This window comes from Homo sapiens, chromosome X, assembly GCF_000001405.40.
Source record: "Homo sapiens chromosome X, GRCh38.p14 Primary Assembly".
In the NCBI taxonomy this organism is placed as follows: Eukaryota; Metazoa; Chordata; class Mammalia; order Primates; family Hominidae; genus Homo; species Homo sapiens.
In genome coordinates, this window is record NC_000023.11 from 41,064,400 (window position 1) to 41,083,126 (window position 18,727).

Consider the following 18,727-nt stretch of genomic DNA (forward strand, 5'->3'; position numbering starts at 1 on the left):
AGAGATGCAAACACAAAATCAAAGAAATTAAGTAAAAACCCTTTAATCTTTAATTTAGATTAGAAATAGCAGTATTTATTCATAATTTATTTTTATTTTGAAAAAAAATTCTTAGCTCTGTGCACTGAAAAGATCTGAAAAGAAATGATAGCAATAAAGACCCAGCATCCAGATTATAGTGAGTAAATATAATTTAAAACAAACAAATATGCAGAACTCCTTAGGGAAGTGGCTAGTTCCAATTCCGAGGCTGGAAATGTAAAAGATGAACTTGGAATATCCTATCTTACCAGAAATTAAGAAAAATTAAGGACTCCAAGGGTTGTATGACAAGATGGAACAATTTGAGCATCAAAAAGCATAATGACTGCAAAGTACTGTAATATTTACACATCAAGTATTTTAAAACTCCATGAGTTCATAATGACATCAATAATCAATAAATAAAACCTCACTGGTTACCTTTTGGAGGCTGCTGGAACATCAACTCACTAATTGTATAATAGGCAAATAAAGGAAAAGAATCACATTTATTTTGTTTTTCTGGGCAAACTATATTCAAGAGCATCCAGAAATGATAGGAAAGTTCTTCATTATGAACTAATTCAAGTTCGTAAAAAAATGACAGAATTGGAAAATCACCTTTTATGAAGGATAGTCTGGGTTATGGAAATGTTTTATGTCTTCATATAAGTGGTGGTTACATGGTTGTGTAAATATGAATATGTAAATATTCATCAAGCTGTTCACTGGATGTTTGTTCATTATATTTTAAGTAGTTTAACCTTAATTTAATAATTTTGGCTGGGCACAGTGGCTCACGCCTGTAATCCCAGCACTTTGGGAGGCTGAGGTGGGCGGATTTCCTGAGGTCGGGAGTTCGAGACCAGCCTGACCAACACGGAGAAACCCTGTCTCTATTAAAAATACAAAATTAGCCAGGCGTAGTGGTGCATGCCTGTAATCCCAGCTACTCGGGAGGCTGAGGCAGGAGAATCACTTGAACCCGGTGGCAGAGGTTGCAGTGAGCCAAGATTGTGCCATTGCACTCCAGTCTGGGCAACAAGAGCAAAACTCCATCTCAAAAAAAAAATTTAAAAAAAAATAATAATTTTACCTCAATTTTCAAATTACACTTGAATTATAAAAAAATTTCCATTGTGGCCAGGCCCAGTGGCTCACGCCTGTAATCCCAGTACTTTGGGAAGCCGAGGGAGACAGCTCACTTGAGGCCAAGAGTTTGAGAGAAGCCTGGCCAACATGGTGAAACCTTGTCTCTACTAAAAATACAAAAATTAGCCAGGCATGGTGGTGCGTGCCTGTAATCCCAGCTACTCGGGAGGCTGAGGCACAGAATCTCTCTATCCTGGGAGGTGGAGGTTGCAGTGAGCTGAGATCGCACCACTGCATCCAAGCCTCGGTGATAGAGTGAGACTCCATCTCAAAAAAATAAAGAAAATTAAAAAATCTCCATTGTGGCCAGGTAAGGTGGCTCACGCCTGTAATCCCAGCACTTTGGGAGGCTGAAGTGGGCGGATCACCTGAGGTCAGGTGTTCGAGACCAGCCTAGGCAGCATGGTGAAGCCCTGTTTCTACTAAAAATACAAAATTAGCTGGGCATGGTGGTGCGTGCCTGTAGTCCCAGCTACTCGGGAGGCTGAGGCAGGAAAATTGCTTGAACCCTGGAGGTAGAGGTTGCAGTGAGCCAAGATCGTGCCACTGCACTCCAGCCTGAGCAACAGATTGAGGCTCCGTCTCAAAATTAATTAATTAATTAATTAATTTAAAAAAAAAGGTCAGGCGTGGTGGCTCACGCCTGTAATCCCAGCACTTTGGGAGGCCGAGGCAGGCGGATCACCTGAGATCGGGAGTTCGAGACCAGACTGGCCAACATGGTGAAACCCCATCTCTACTAAAAATACAAAAATTAGCTGGGTGTGGTGGGGCATGCCTGTAATTCCAGCTACTCGGGAGGCTGAGACTGGAGAATCGCTTGAACCCAGGAGGTGGAGGTTGCAGTGAGCCTCTGCACCACTGCACTCTGTCTTGGGTGACAGAGTGAGACTCCATCTCAAACAACAACAACTATAACAACAAAAAAAACAAGTGTTCTCTAACCAGGCATGATGGTACATGCTTATAGTCTCAGCTACCTGGGAGGCTGAAGTGGGTGAATTGCTTAAGGCAGGGAGTTAAGGCTTTGGTGAGCTGTGATCTCACCTTTGAATAGGCACTGCACTCCAGCCTGAGCAAGAGAGTAATACCGTGTCAGTAAAAAAAAGAGAGAAAAATGTATACCTGGAGAGCACTAATGCCCTTCTCTTACTACAGACTTCCAATAGCTGCCTTAGCCTATATTTCCATGTGGCACTGCCCTGTACTGATTTAGCAGAAGATAACATGTGGGGAGAGCTGTTCATCCCAACCACCCACAGACCACCGCATATCTTCTGCAGACCCCTACAGTCCAGGGGGCCACCAGGGCAGAACTATTGCAATCCTGCAGGAAAAACCAACACCCTAACCAAGCCCTTAGAGTGGCAGCAGTGTCTGTGGTATCCAGCTGAGAGTAGAGTCTTACAGAGACTGTTGCAGTGGACTTGTTCCTAAGTATGTGTGACAACCCCCAGCAACTCCTGGAAATAATGAGGTGCTTTTTGTGGGGAGTTGAGGTTCTTGCATGAACAGGTGGCAGGGCAATTAGGTTACACCTAGATTTTGTTTTATGGCAACAGTGGACCTGGATGTCTGTGGGAGTGGCAGCTTGCAGGAAGAAAGGTAGACTGTTTCACTTTCCCCTAAATAGGCCTGGGGCTGGGATCCACAGTGATCCACTGGGATCACAGTGTGGGACTGGGATCCACCGGGCCTGGGATCCACAGGAAAAACAGTTTTTTCCTGGCAGAGGAATCAGCAAAGGCAAAGGTGGTAGCATGTTTATTGTTAAAGGAATGGTAAGGAGGCTGGCTGGAACGGAGGGAGTGAGGGGGGGAAAGTAAGAAATGAAGTCAGAGAGATAATGATGGGGATTGGAGACCATGGCAGCCTTCTCTGATCATTTCCTGCCCAAGGGTTGTTTTACACCTCGAAGCATTTGAGAGCAGGCTCTTGGTTTCTTTGGTAATTTAATTCCTTCAAAACCATAGAAGGCTTCAGATCTCTTTGCTTCCAGACAGTTCCATGTGCTGTAATGTAACTATGCCCAATGTTCTTTCCTAGACATAGTGGTAAAGTCTCCTTTTTGCAGTGTTTGTTTCTTGGTCCTGTGCTTCTTTCTCTTTCAAATTAATGTTGGCTACCTCGATGTCATCTCAAGCAACAGGCTTAGGTGAGGGCACCACCACCCTTAATCTAATTTTTGCTTTAGGGCAGGGTCCCTCTAAGTGAGGGGTCTTTATGGACTATTGTGTCAAGGGGTCAAAAGCTCACAAGATAGGGACATGAAACTGCCTTGCAGCAGTTCCTTGCCCTTATCTCCCCTTGTTCCAGGAAGAATCGGGGGGCATTCTGCCAACACTCAGGTCAGACTGCAGCCAAGCCTCGCTTGTGTGGCCTACATGAAGATGTGCAGCGTCACCAGCATATCATGACAAAGTCTTCCCGTACACTTTGTGACACAAAGTCTTTTTCGGTCTCCTCTCTTCTTATTTGGGATATAGAAGTTGTGAGCTTTTCTAACCCTGTATCCCCAAATTTCCCAACTCTTTCTTTTTAACTTTTAGGTTCAGGGGTACATGTGCAGGTTTGTTATATAGGTACATTGTATGTCACAGGGGTTTGGTGTACAGATTATTTCACCGCCCAGGTAATAACCAATAGGTAGTTTTTTGATTCCTCCTCTCCTCCCTCTGTCCACCTTCAAGCAGGGCCTGGTGTCTATTGTTCCCTTTTTTATGTCCATGTGGAATCAGTGTTTAGCTCCCACTTATAAGTGAGAACATGAGATATTTGGTTTTCTGTTCCTGTGTTAGTTCACTTAGGATAATGGCCTCCAGCTTCATCCATGTTTCTGGGAAGGACATGATTGTGTTCTTTGTTAATGTTGCATAGTATTCTATGGTATATATGTACCACCTTTTCTTTATCCATTCTACCATACATGGTTGTTTAGGTTAATTCCATATATTTGCTATTGTGAATAGTGCTGCAGTCAACATATGCATGCATGCGTCTTTATGGTAGAATGATTTGTATTTTTCGGGGTATATACCAATAATTGGATTGCTGGGTGGAATGGTAAGTTTGCTTTGAGCTCTTTGAGAAATTGCCATACTGCTTTCCACAGTGGCTGAACTAATCTACATTTTCATCAGCCGTGTATAAGCATTCCTTTTTCTCCACAACCTTTCCAGCATCTGTTGTTTTTTGCCTTTTTAATAATAGCCATTCTGAGTGGTGTGAGATGGCATCTCGTGTTGGTTTTTTTTTTTTTTTTTGACATGGAGTCTCGCTCTGTTGCCCAGGCTAAAGTGCAGTGGCGCGATCTCAGCTCACTGCAACCTCCGCTTCCCGGGTTCAAGCGATTCTCCTGCCTCAGCCTCCTGAGTAGCTGGGATTACAGGCATGTGCCACCATGCCCGGCTAATTTTTGTGTGTGTGTGTATTTTTAGTAGAGACAGGGTTTCACCATGTTGGTCAGGCTGGTCTCGAAATCCTGACCTCGTGATCCGCCCGCCTCAGCCTCCAAAAGTGCTGGGATTATAGGCGTGTGCCACCATGCCCAGCTAATTTTTTTTTTTTTGTATTTTTAGCAGAGACAGGGTTTCACCATGTTGGTCAGGCTGGTTTCGAACTCCTGACCTCGTGATCTGCCCGCCTCAGCCTCCAAAAGTGCTAGGATTACAGGCGTGAGCCACCGCGCCTGGCCGTGGTTTTTTTTAATTTGACTTAAGGGCAGGGGGACTTTGGGGACTTTGGGGTCATTGTGGTTTTGATTTGCATTTCTCTAATAATTAGTGATGTTGAGCCTTTTTTCATGTGCTTGTTGGCCATGTGTATGTTTTTTTAAATTAAATTAAATTAAATTTAATTTGAAGTCCTGGGATACCTGTATAGCATGTGCATGTTTGCTACATAGGTTAACATGTTTCATGGTGGTTTGCTGTACCTATCAACCCATCACGTAGGCATTAAGCCCCACATGCCTTAGCTATTTGTCCTGATGCTCTCTCTCCCCTCACTTCCCTGTGGATGTGTCTATGTCTTGTTTTGAAGAGTGTCTGTTCTTGTCCTTTGCCCATTTTTAAATGGGGTCGTTTGTTTTTTTTTCTAGTTGATTTAAGTTCCTTACAGATTCTGGATATTAGACCTTTGTCGGGTTCATAGGTTGTAAATATTTTCTCCCATTCTATAGGTTGTCTGTTTACTCTGTTGATAAGTTTCTTTTGCTGTGCAGAAGCTCTTTAATTAGGTCCTATTTGTCAATTTTTGTTTTTGTTGCAACTGCTTTTGGCATCTTTGTCATGAAATCTTTGTGAGGTCCTATTCCAGAATGGTATTTCCTGATTATCTTGCAGGATTTTTATAGTCTTAGGTTTTACATTTAAGCCTTTAATCCATCTTGAATTGATTTTTGTGTATGGTGTAAGGAAGGGGTGGAATTTCAGTCTTCTGCATATGGGTAGCCAGTTATCCCAGCACCATTTATTGAATAGGGAGTCCTTTTCCCATTGCTTGTTTTTGTCAACTTTGTTGAAGATCAGATGGTCGTTGGTGTGCGGCATTGTTTTAACTCTTTTTTTTTTTTTCAAGACGAAGTCTTGCTCTGTTGCCCAGGCTGGAGTGCAGTGGCACGATCTTGGCTCACTGCAACCTCCGCCTCCCGGGTTCAAGCAATTCTCCTGCCTCAGCCTCCCAAGTAGCGGGGACTACAGGCATACGCCACCACACCCGGCTAATTTTTGTATTTTTAGTAGAGACAGGGTTTCACCATGTTGGCCAGGCTGGTCTCAAACTCTTGACCTCTTGATCCCCCCACCTCGGCCTCCCAAAGTGTTGGGATTACAGGCATGAGCCACCGTGCTCGGCCTATTTTAACTCTTTATTTTCTTTCATTTCTGCTATTGAACCAGCCGGTTCTTGAGTCAGCTTTTCTCTTCATGTAATACCTTGCTAAATACAGCAAGTAACCATCAATACATACCTAAAATTGCTTTCTATCTTTTTTTCCCTAGAGTTATAGGCCCAGGAGACATTTGATCTGACTTCTAATTTATTACAGGCGACTTTTTAATCAAGAATTTTGCTGCTTTTTAACATGGCTCTCCATGTTGTATCCTCCAATATCAGTTTTGTCACTGCTCACTGGCTCAAATACAACACGTTTTGTTATTGCTCATCTTAAAGTATTATGTGGGTGAACAGGTCAATGGGGCAGCCTTCCTCCATGCAGTCATTCAGAAACCCAGGGTGACAAGAGCTTTGCTACCTTCAGCACATGGCCACCAAGGTCATCCTTGGGGGTCGCATGCAGTCATCCCTACTGCAGCAACCTGTCAGAGGAGAAAAACATATAGGAATATGTTTGTGAGTTTTATAGGAGCAGACTAAAAGTGGCACGAGAAATTTGCTCTCATATTTCATTGCTTATAAAGCAATTTCATCATATGACTATATCTAACTGCAAGGGGAGGCTGGGAAATGTGTGCCCAGGAAGAAGAGGAAAGCATGGATCAGGTGAGGAGCTAGCCATCTCTGCCACGGGTGCTTTGGAATAGTGTATTGGCAATGAGAGTAGTGAGAAGTTGTAGAATTTTAGGTTTATATTGAAGGTAGAGACATCAGAATTTGCTGACTCCAAAGCTTTTGGACTAAATAATCGGAAGAATAAAAATGCCATATACTGATATGGTAAAGACTATTGAGAACTCAGTTTTAGGCATTTAATTTTTGAGATGTCTATTAGCATCCATGTGGAGATGTCAACTAAGCACTTGGATATGCAGGTCTACAATTTAAAGAAATGGTCAGTATTGAAAATGTAAATTTGGGGATCCTTAGTATATGGATGGTATTCAAAGCAGCTGTATACTAAATGCGAAACTATATATAACAATACTGAATTTCATTCACTCTACAAAGTGCAATTTCCTCACATCTTTGAAATTGGAATGCACTTTAGAACACTCAGCCTTCAGTTATGATTGGCAGTGTTTTCTTTCTTTGTTAATGGCACATAAAATAATGATGTATCTACAATTGATGGCACCTCAGATTCAATGAAGCATAGTAATAATGATAAAAATGATAATGATAATATTGAGCACTTAATATTGTGGATGAGACACTGTGCTAAGCCGCTTCTACGATTATCTTTATATGCAGTTGTAATATAGAAAGGCTAAGAACACAGACACTGGGGCCTGACTGGGTGGGGTCTGTCTGAATTTTAGCTCTGTGCTTACTAATCACATGACTCCAGCCAGATGCTTTATCTATGCCATAGTTTTCCTATCTAAAATAAGATGATAATACCACCTAACTTACAGGTTTATTATAAGGATTAAAGGAATTAATACACATATAGTGCCTAGAACGAGGAATTAATACACATATAGTGCCTAGAACAGTGCTTAGCACATAAGTACTGAAATGATTTAATATTATTGTTAAAATATGTGAAAAGCATATGTAGGTCAGGCACGGTGGCTCGTGCCTATAATCCCAGCACTTTGGGAAACCGAGGGGGGCGGATCACTTGAGGTCAGGAGTTGGAGACCAGCCTGGCCAACATGGTGAAACCCCGTCTCTACTGAAAATGCAAAAAAATTAGCCGGGCATGGTGGCGTGCGCCTGTAATCCCAGGTACTCAGGAGGCTGAGGCAGGAGAATCGCTTGAACCTGGGAGGCGGCCACTGCACTCCAGCCTGGGTGACAGCAAGACTCCATCTCAAAATAAATAAATAAATAAATAAAGAGCATATATGTATGCATGTAAAAATTGACTATACTCGTTTTTGTTTTTGTTTGTTTGTTTGTTTAAGACAGAGTCTCCCTGTGTCACCCAGGCTGTAGTGCAGTGGAATGATCTTGGCTCACTGCAGCTTCCTCCTCCCGGGCTGAAGCCATCCTCCCACGTCAGCCTCCCAAGTAGCTGGGACTACAGGCATGAGCCACCATGCCCAGCTAACATCCCTTTACTTTTAATCTATGTCTTTATATTTAAAGTTGGTTTCTGTTAGATGACAAATAGTTGGGTGTTGGGTTTTTTAATCTCTTCTGACAGTTTCTGTCTTGTAATTGGTGTATTTTATAATAATTAGACCATTGATGTTTAAAGTGACTGTTGATACAGTTGGATTAACGTCTACCATGTTTGTTACTGGTTTCTATTCATTATCCTTGTTCTTTGTTTTTTTTGTTGTTGTTGTTGTTTTTGCCTTACACTTTTTTTCTGCCTTCTCTGGTGTTAGCTGAACGTTTTTTTTTGTTGTTGTTGTTTTTCTAAACAGGATTTTGCTTTGTTGTCCAGGCTGGAGTACAGTGGCATGATCTTGGATCACTGCAGCCTCGACCTCCTGGGCTCAAGTGATCCTCCTACCTCAGCTTCCTGAGTAGCTGAGACTACAGACGTGCGCCAGCACACTTGGCTAATTTTTGTATTTTTTTTGGTAGAAAGAGGGGTCCACCATGTTGGCCAGCCTGGTCTCGAACTCCTGGGCTCAAGCAATCTGCCCGCCTTGGCCTCCCAAAGTGCTGGGATTATAAGCGTGAGCAACCGTGCCCGGCCAATTGAACATTTTATATGATTCTAATTTCTCTCCTCTCTTAGCATATCAATTCTACTTCTTTCTTTTCAGAAGTTGCTCTAGAGTTTGCAGTATACATTTACAACTAATCTAAGTCCACTTTCAAATAACACCACCACTTGACAGGTAATACAAGTATCTTATAACAGAATATTCTCAATTCCTCTCTCACACCCCTATAACATTGCTGTCATTCATTTCAGTTATCCATAAGCTATACTGAATATTGCTAATATTGAATCACTGCTATTATTATTTTGAACAAACTGTTATCTATTAGATGTATTAAAAATAAAAATAAAATATTCTATTTTACCTTTATTCCTTCTCTAATCCTCTTCCTTTCTTTTTTTTTTTTTTCCTTTGAGACGGAGTCTCACTCTTGTCACCCAGGCTGGAGTGTAGTGGAGCAATCTCGGCTCACTGGAACCTCCGCCTCCCAGGTTCAAGCAATTCTCCTGCCTCAGCCTCCTGAGTAGCTGGGATTATTGACGCCTGCCACCACACCTGGCTAATTTTTGTATTTTTAGTAGATGGGGGGGTTTCACCATATTGGTCAGGCTGGTCTCGAACTCCTGACTTCAGGTGGTCCACCCACCTCGGCCTCCCAAAGTGCTGGGATTACAGGCGTGAGCCACTGCGCCTGGCCAATTTGAAACTTTTAGTAGCCTGCAGTAGAGTCGTTGGGAGTGCCTCTTTAACTTGGCCCTGGCTCTCTTGATTCTAGAAAGCTCTGTGTGGAAACAGGGCCCTTTCACATGCTTTAGAGAAGCTACTTTAATTACTAAAAATGATTTAGAAGTTTAGCATTTTAGCAGATTTTTCTAAAATATTCCAAACAACTCTGTAATAGAGACTAGATTATAAATAATTCTCTTATAATTTTGTGTATACTGTCGATTTGAATATGCTTTCTTTTTTTTCTTTCCCCCAATGATAGGATAAGCATAAAATTCAAGACAGTTGCTGTCTAGAATATCATGTTCTAATTTAGTGAGATCCAAATTAATGATGTTATAGTAGATGAATTGGTAGCAAATGAGCATATTTGCTTATGGGCTTTAAAAGTGTTTACTTTTTCTGAGATAAGTAGTAATATTTCCAAATTAGAGTAGACTTTGAAGAAACTCTAGCAAAAGGAAGAGTTGGTTGAAAATCTCCCTTTTTACAAGACTTCTAGGCTAGTCAAGAAGAAATAACAGTGCTAAGGCAGAAAGCAGGACAGAACTGAAGCTTCTCCAGGCTGCAGTCATGTAGAGAATTTGACTTGATGTCTGACTTGAATTAGCAAATGGTTGGTCTGGGTGACTGCAGTGCAGTTTTGATTGTGAATATGGCTGGAAAATTTGGAATCCTCTAGACGGTATGTAGATATATATCTGAGATATACCACTGCTAAGGAGCAATGGATTTACTAGAACTAGCATAGGGTCAGGAATGAGGCATAATTAGTGCCACAAACTGGTGATATCTCCTCCTGGGAAAATATGTACTTCTTAGGCCTAGATGAAATAAACATGATTTCGCTAGTAAAAACAAAAGGATCAAATTATTTTGCGCTATGGTGGTTTACATAAAATATATAAGGTACAGCCTTATTTTTTTTTATTTTTATTTTTAAAAGCCCCAAAGATCTAAAAACTCTACAGTAAAAGGAGTGAAATAATACCTAAAACACTGGCTAATAGACTCTGGTGGAATATTAATAGTGATGCCCCCTGGGGTAAGGTAAGGTGGAGATGCAGAGAGGCAGGTTGGCCTGGGGTCAGCTCTGGGGTCCCTCCAGCACTTTTCAGGTCTTACTCCTCAAATCTTTATTTTTATTTTTTATTTTGTTATTGTTGTTGTTTGTTTTCAGATGGAGTTTCGCTCTTTTGCTCTTGTTGCCCAGGCTGGAGTGCAATGGCGTGATCTCGGCTCACTGCAACCTCTGCTCCCTGGGTTCAAGCGATTCTCCTGCCTCAGCCTCCCGAGTAGCTGGGATTACAGGCATGCGCCAACACATCCGGCTAATTTTTGTATTTTTAGTGGAGACAGGGTTTCGCCACATTGGCCAGGTTGGTCTCAAACTCCTGACCTCAGGTGATCCACCCGCCTCTGCCTCCCAAAGTGCTAGGATTACAGGCATGAGCCATTGCGCCCGGCCCTGCTTTTTGTTTTTTTTTTGAGACAAGGCCTGGTTCTGTCGCTCAGGCTGGAGTGCAGTCGTGTGATTTTGGTTCACTACAGCCTCAGCCTCCCCAATAGTTGGGACTACCGGCATGTGCCACCATTCCTGGCTAATTTATTATTATTTTTTATAGTGATGGGGTCTCCCTATGTTGCCCAGACTGGTCTCAAACTCCTGAGCTCAAGTGATCCTCCCACCTCGTCCTTCCAAAGTGGTGGTATTACAGGCCCTGGCTGATCCTTGCTCTCTCAGCGACCCCTCCTCCTTTTTGCTCCTACCCCAGATTTCTTCTTCGGGTTTCCTGCAAAGCCATCCAGTTTGATGCCCAGGCCCTGGGGGCTCAGCTTCCACCACTTGGGCCTCTCAAAGTTCTTTTGAAAATCAGAATAAGAAATATTTCATCTCATTGCGTATCTTTGTTTTATTTGGGTTTTTCTTGGCTTTCTAAATTGCTGGGGGGATTTTAAAAAATCTTTTTGTTTTTTAACTAGAGAAACTAACAAAATATACACAGACTCTCAAATGACACTATGGGTACCTTCATGGCTTTGCCTTTAATTATTTATTATTACCTTATTCCTCTTCACAGGGGCAAACCCATGCTTTATGAAGCCTGATGCTTACACAATTATGGGAGCCTTCTTTGAAAAAAAAATTTCAAAATTACAAATGCAAAATTAGGTACAAAAGGGAATATTTACAATGAGAAATCACCACAAATGGCAAGATTTAAACAGCTGACAAATTAAACAGCGCAAAATCCAGGAAAAAAAAAAAACCATGGTTGATCAAAATTTCTTCTTTTCTTTTCTTTTTTTTTTTTTGAGATGGTGTCTTGCTCTGTCGCCCAGGCTGGAGTGCAGTGGTGCCATCTCAGCTCACTGCAACCTCCGCCTCCCAGGTTCAAGCGATTCTCCTGCCTCAGCCTCCTGCCTCAGCCTCCTGAGTAGCTGGGACTACAGGCACGTGCCACCAGGCCCGGCTAATTTTTTGTATTTTTAGTACAGACGGGGTTTCACCGTTTAGCCAGTATGGTCGCTATCTCCTGACCTCGTGATCCGCCCGCCTCAGCCTCCCAAAGTGCTGGGATTACAGGCGCCATCTCGCCTGGCCTTTTCTTATTAATAATTTAGAAATGTTTATTCAGCTTCACAACTTGTTAGTGATATCAAGTACTTTTTGTTTTGTTTTTTTTGAGATGGAGTCTTGCTCTGTCCCCCAGTCTGGAGTGCAGTGGTACAATCTTGGCTCACTGCAAGCTCAGCCTCCCGGGTTCAAGCGATTCTCCTGCCTCAGCCTCCTGAGTAGCTGGGATTACAGGCGCCCACCACCACGCCCGGCTAATTTTTTTGTGTGTTTTTAGTAGAGATGGGGTTTCACCATGTTGGCCAGGCTGGTCTCGAACTCCTGACCTTGTGATCCGCCCACCTCGGCCTCCCAAAGTGCTGGGATTGCAGGCATGAACCACCGCGCCCGGCCAATATCAAGTACGTTTTTAAGATGATCAACTTTGGTCGTGCGCAGGGCGTGGGGAGGTGCTGAGGGGCCGAGGCCGCGGCCAGTTAGACGCCGTACTGTCCAGAGAGCACTGCGGCGGGAGCCGGCAGTCGGAGCAGCCTTGGAGCAGGAGGAGCAGCAGCAGCAGCAGCCGTCGCCGTTTGCGGAGCGCAGCCGAGCCGGCCATGGCGTTGTCGATGCCGTTGAACGGGCTGAAGGAGGAGGACAAAGAGCCCCTCATTGAGCTCCTCGTCAAAGCTGGCAGTGATGGTGAAAGCATAGGAAACTGCCCCTTTTCCCAGAGGTTCTTCATGATTCGTTGACTCAAAGGAGTTGTATTTAGTGTCACAACTGTTGACCTGAAATGGAAGCCTGCAGACCTACAGAACTTAGCTCCCAGGACCCACCCACCGTTTGTAAGTTTCAACAGTGAAGTCAAAACGGATGTAAGTAAGATTGAGGAATTTCTTGAAGAAGTCTTATGCCCTCCCAAGTACTTAAAGCTTTCACCAAAACACCCAGAATCAAATACTGCTGGAATGGACATCTTTGCCAAATTCTCTGCATTTATCAAGAATTGAAGGCGAGAGGCTAATGAAGCACTGGAGAAGGATCTCCTGAAAACCCTGCAGAAACTGGATAAATATCTGAATTCTCCTCTCCCTGATGAAATTGATGAAAATAGTATAGAGGACATTAAGTTTTCTACACATAAATTTCTGGATGGCAATGAAATGACATTAGCTGATTGCAGCCTGCTCCCCAAACTGCATATTGTCAAGGTGGTGGCCAAAAAATATCACAACTTTGATATTCCAAAAGAGATGACTGGCATCTGGAGATACCTAACTAATGCATATAGTAGGGACGAGTTCATCAATACCTGTCCCAGTGATAAGGAGGTTGAAATAGCATATAGTGATGCCAAAAGACCCACCAAGTAAAATTGCATTTATGAAAGAGATGTCTTCATGTCTTCCCCTAAGAATATGCTTTTCCTAACAGGCTACTCTTCTTCTTATAGAGTAGAAATTGTATTTTGCACGAACATGCAGTTATTGAGGATTAGGATCAAGGGTAGACAAGGTATAGTAGTTATCTTAAAATATACACTCCTTGACCAGGTGCGGTGGCTCGTGCCTGTAATCCCAGCACTTTGGGAGGCCGAGGCGGGCAGATCACCTGAGCAGGAGTTCAAGACCAGCCTGGCCAACATGGTGAAACCCCGTCTCTACTAAAAAAAAAGAAAAAAAAAATTAGCAGGACGCGGTGGTGCGCACCTGTAATCCCAGCTACTTGGGAGGCTGCAGCTGGAGAATCGCTTAAACCTGGGAGGCAGAGGTTGCAGTGAGCCAAGTTCACGCCACTGCACTCCAGCCTGGGAGACAGAGCGAGATTGCATCTCAAAAAAAAAAAAAAAAAATATATACACACACACACACACACACACACACACACACACACACACACACACTCCTAAGCAGTATTATTTTAAAATCCTTTTACCCTGCCTACCTCTGTACCCGTGTTCCCCTCTTTTTAATTTGGAGACACTCCACCACAAACTTTTCACTTTAGAGGTAGCTTGCCATCTTTCAGGAGCCCTCACCATTGTGTCTATTCACTGTGCATAGATGACAGAATTTTGAGGTGCAATGTCTGTTTAAATAGTAGCTACGACTTTATCAGGCAACCCCAAACTGGTGCATAATGCATGGTATAAGGAATATTTATGTATTTTTTGGATTTTTGTAATATTTAGTGCAGGGTGGAGGGCTAACAGAGGAAAGAGCTCCATTCTTCAAACTAGAGTGATGAAAATTCATTCTGAAACTCAAAGTATTTTCTTTTCTTCTTTTTTTTTTTTTTTTTGAGATGGAGTCTCACTCTGTTGCCCAGGCTGGAGTGCAATGGCATGGTCTTGGCTCACTGCAACCTCCTCTTCCCGGGTTCAAGAGATTCTCCTGCCTCAGCCTCTCGAGTAGCTGGGATTACAGGCGCCCACCACCGCGCCCGGCTAATTTTTGTATTTTTAGTAGAGAGGGGGTTTCACCATCCTAGGCAGCCTGATCTTGAACTTGTGACCTTGTAATCCACCCTCCTCGTCCTCCCAAAGTGCTAGGATTACAGGCATGAGCCACTGCGTCTGGCCCAACTCAGAGTATTTTCATTTTGGATATTTATTCTCTTGTTTTTTATTAACCCAGTGATTACACTTGGCCACGTTCGAGGAAGGTATGTCCATTGTAATTTTGATGATCAGAATTGTTTTTTTTGTTGTTGAAAGACAGATACTACTTTATCAGGGACGTTAGTCAAATCAAATGGAAATTGGTAAATGGACAAAAGCTACCTAGTTAAAAGGATGATCTGACAACATGCTTTAATCCCACTGTATGTGGAAAGAGCATAGCTTAAAATCTTGAGAAATTTGGACCATAAAATTTTCATGGTAGACAGTTCGTGCAGTATATAAATTGGCATAATGGAAATAATCTGATTTTATTTTTACAACTAACAAATCATTCCTCTTCATTTAAACACCTTTTGTATTTACTTCAGTGAGGAGATTGGAGTCTGAATGGAAAGTCTTACTGTTTTCCAAGGGATTCTGAGAAAGTTTTGTATTCAACAGTTGGAAAGTTCTCTACTATTCTAGTTGATAAAACTTCCCTTTTTTGATGTAGATGCATATTTTCTATACAGTTCTGTTGTCTTCTTTTACTACGACTGTTAACTTTTGTCATAAAATTCAAATAAGATTTTATTTCTTGGTAATTTTGACTTTCACAATTTATCTTTAAATCCTTGAGCAATCTGTTTACAATTAAGAGATTTCTGACATTTATTCTTACACTAAGTGGATACACTCTAGGATTTAGGCATGTTAACTTTATTTCTGTTGTGTTTTGAATCGCTCCAGAGTTGCATGTAGATAGCATTTATTTCTGTGCACTTAAACCTATTTAGAAAATATCTATGAAGTAAAAATGGAGAGGAAATAGAAATGTATTTTTTCATGAAAATTTTGATGGAAATTTCATCAAGTTTAATGATTCACCAATTTCTTACATTAATTTGAATTAAGCATTTAATTCAAAGAGAGGGGAGCATTCATTATTGATATATTTGGGCTTTTAAAAACTCCATCCTTTATAAATAGTCAAAGTTTGGGCCACACAAATTATATTTTCATCATGGAAAAATTTCAACTTCTCAAGCCATAATGTTGAACAGAATTGGAGTATTTTCTTTAGAATTTCTTGAACAGGCAAATGAAAGCTTATTATAGCATGCACGTATTTTCTTTTCTTTTTGGAACATCAACACCAGTATATTGTTGGCAGCTATTGTATCAAAAAAATAAAGTATACTTTCACTATCATAAAGGATTCTTTCCCCCCCTCATGAAAATAAACAACAACTTGGGGTAAAAAAAAAAAAGATGATCAATGTTGAGACAACTGTCAAGTTTCTTTCATACATGGGCTGCAAGTTTTCAAGACTTTGGTGCAGTTACTAATATGAAATAGTCTTTGAGTTGATAACACTTCTAACTAGCTTATCCTCGATGTTCTCCTTCTAATGTCAGTGGTATTGATTGGTGACTAAGCCCCATGTACCATGACTAAGACCAGGTAGCTGGTCCCCTTTGAGTGGGCAGATACATGGTAGTTTTGCTTTAGATTCCTTTATGTCCCCAGAACTCAGGGATGATCCAAGGCTGGGGCTACTCTTGCTGTCCTTACATCCAAGTCTTTGGCTGGGAATAGGTCAGTTTCAGAGACATTCCCACAGAGCAGGAGGGACAGACTACTTCTAAGCAGGTTGTTAGGCACTGGTGTCTAAAATTTGGTCAAATTTTAGACACCATGAGCAATAGCACATTATCAACTGTGATCATTTAATTATCTCTTGTTCTCCCTAGCTACATTTTCTGCCTGTTGTCATAAAGATTAAGTGGGACCACCTACTTAGATTTTTAGTTATCGTATTTTTATATTAAAAATAGTAACTCATTGTGGACTTTGCTCATTCCATTCAATCACAAAGCCTTCTCTAGGGAACATATTATCAAAGGTCCCTCCTCTTCTATTTTAGTTTGGCCATTAGCCCAGAAAGTATTTCCACAGAACTTTAAAATTTGTACCCCTGAAAATATTAAATAACATCAATTTATCCAGGAAAATTTGTCTATGGTTTAAGATAAGTGTCCTAGTAAACAATGAGTATACTTATCAGATATTTCTGGGGCAGGGGGAGTGGGGAGAGAGAGCAATGAGAAATTTCATGAGGAAATGTAATATAATAAGGTTTTGCCCTAATAAAGCAGAACCAGGAAGTTAAAAAAAATTACAGTTTGAAAACTAAAGGACAGGTGTTAGAAAAGAGAAACCCAAACAAAGGAAGAAGAAAGACCTGGACTATATGGATTTTAATTTAAGGAGTTGCACTGTGATAATAAACCTATTCTTTTAACTCAAAACTGTTTATTTCCTATCCCATTAACTAAGTGGAAGATCTCAAAAGGGGACAGTCCTGTAGGCCAAATCTACCCTGGGAGCCAAGGTGCACCCTCTGGGTAGCTCGAGAGAGCACAAGGCATCAGTTGGTGGTGAGCTTGACTTGAGAGTTGAGACTAAAACAGCTGGTGGGAGAGTAATGTATAGCCTAAACCATATGAAATTGTATGTGGCTGGATTTTCTTTTCTTCATTTTTTTTATTGTAAAATACAGATAACTTAGAATTTACCATTTTAAGAGTACTATTCAGTGGTATTAAGTACATTTGCAATGTTGTGCAACCATCACCACTTTGCATTTCCAGAACGTTTTTCATCATCTCAAACAGAAATTCTGAACCCATAAAACAACTCCCTATTACCCTCCCCCTAGCCCCTGGTAGCCTCTATTCTACTTTCTGTCTCTATGAGTTTGACTACTTTAGGTACCTCATATAAGTGGAACCATACCATATGTGGCCTTTGTGTCTGGCTTCTTTCACTTAGCATAATGTTTTCAAGGTTCATCCATGTTGTAGCATGTATCAGAGTTTCATTCCTTTCTAAGGCTGAATAATATTTCATTGTGTGTATACACCAAATTTTGTTTATCCATTCATTTGTTGATGGACATTTGGGTTGTTTCCACATTTTGGCTATTGTGAATAATGCTGCTATGAACGGTGGTGTTCAAGTGTCTGTTACAGTCCCTGTTTTCCCTTCTTTGGGGTATATACCTAGGAGTGGAATTGCTGGGTCATATGGTAATTTTATGCTTTTTGAGAAACTGCCATGTTGTTTTCCACAGCAGCTGCACCATTTTACATTCATGCCAGCAATGTAGGAGGGTTCCAATTTCTCCACATCCTGGCCGGACACTGTATTATTATTATTTTTTTGGTTAATAGCCTTTCTAATGGGTGTGAAGTGGTATCTCATTGTGGTTTTGATTTGCATTTCTCTAATGACTATGATGTTAAGTGTCTTTTCATGTGCTTATTGGATATTTACATATATTCTTTGAAGAAATGGCTCTGCAAGTCCTTTGCCCATTTTTGACTTGGGTTTTTTGTTTTGCTGAGTTGAGTTGTAGGAGTTTTTTATATGTTCTGGATATTAATGCCATATCAAATATATTATTTGCAAATATTTTCTCCCATTCTGTAGGTTGCCTTTTCACTCTGTTGATAGTGTCTTTTGATGCACAAAAGTTTTTAATTTTGTTGAACTCCAATTTGTCTATTTTTTCCACCTGTGCTATTGTCATATCCAAGAAATTATTGCCAAATCCAATGTTGTGAAACTTCCCTGTCACGTTTTCTTCTAAGAGTTTTATAGTTTTACCTCTTATGGTTAGGTTTTTGATTCATTTTCAGTTAATTTTTGTATGTTATGTGAGGAAAAGATCCAACTCCATTTTTTTGCATATATATATATATATATATCCAGTTTTCCCAGCACCATTTATTGCAAAGACTATCCTTTCCCTCATTGAATGGTCATGGCACCCTCGTGGAAAATCAGTTGATCATATATGTTAAGGGTTATTTATGAGCTCCTTATTCTATCCCATTGGCATATATACCTGTCCTTACGCAGTACAGTTTCATAGTGAGTTTTGAAATCAGGAAGTAGGAGCCCTCCCAACATTGTTCTCCTTTTTCAAGATTGTTTTGGCTAGTGGCGAGGTGGGGGGGAAACTCCTTATCTGTATGAATTTTAGCATCATCTTGTCCATTTCTGCAAAAAAAAAAAAAGCCTGCTGGGATTTTGATAGGGATTGCATTGACTCTGTAGATCAATTTGAGGAG

At 41.2% G+C, this 18,727-nt stretch overlaps 1 pseudogene; it reads left to right on the top strand.

Moving 5' to 3' along the window:
• CLIC4P3 (chloride intracellular channel 4 pseudogene 3) lies at window positions 12,494–13,531 on the top strand (annotated as a pseudogene).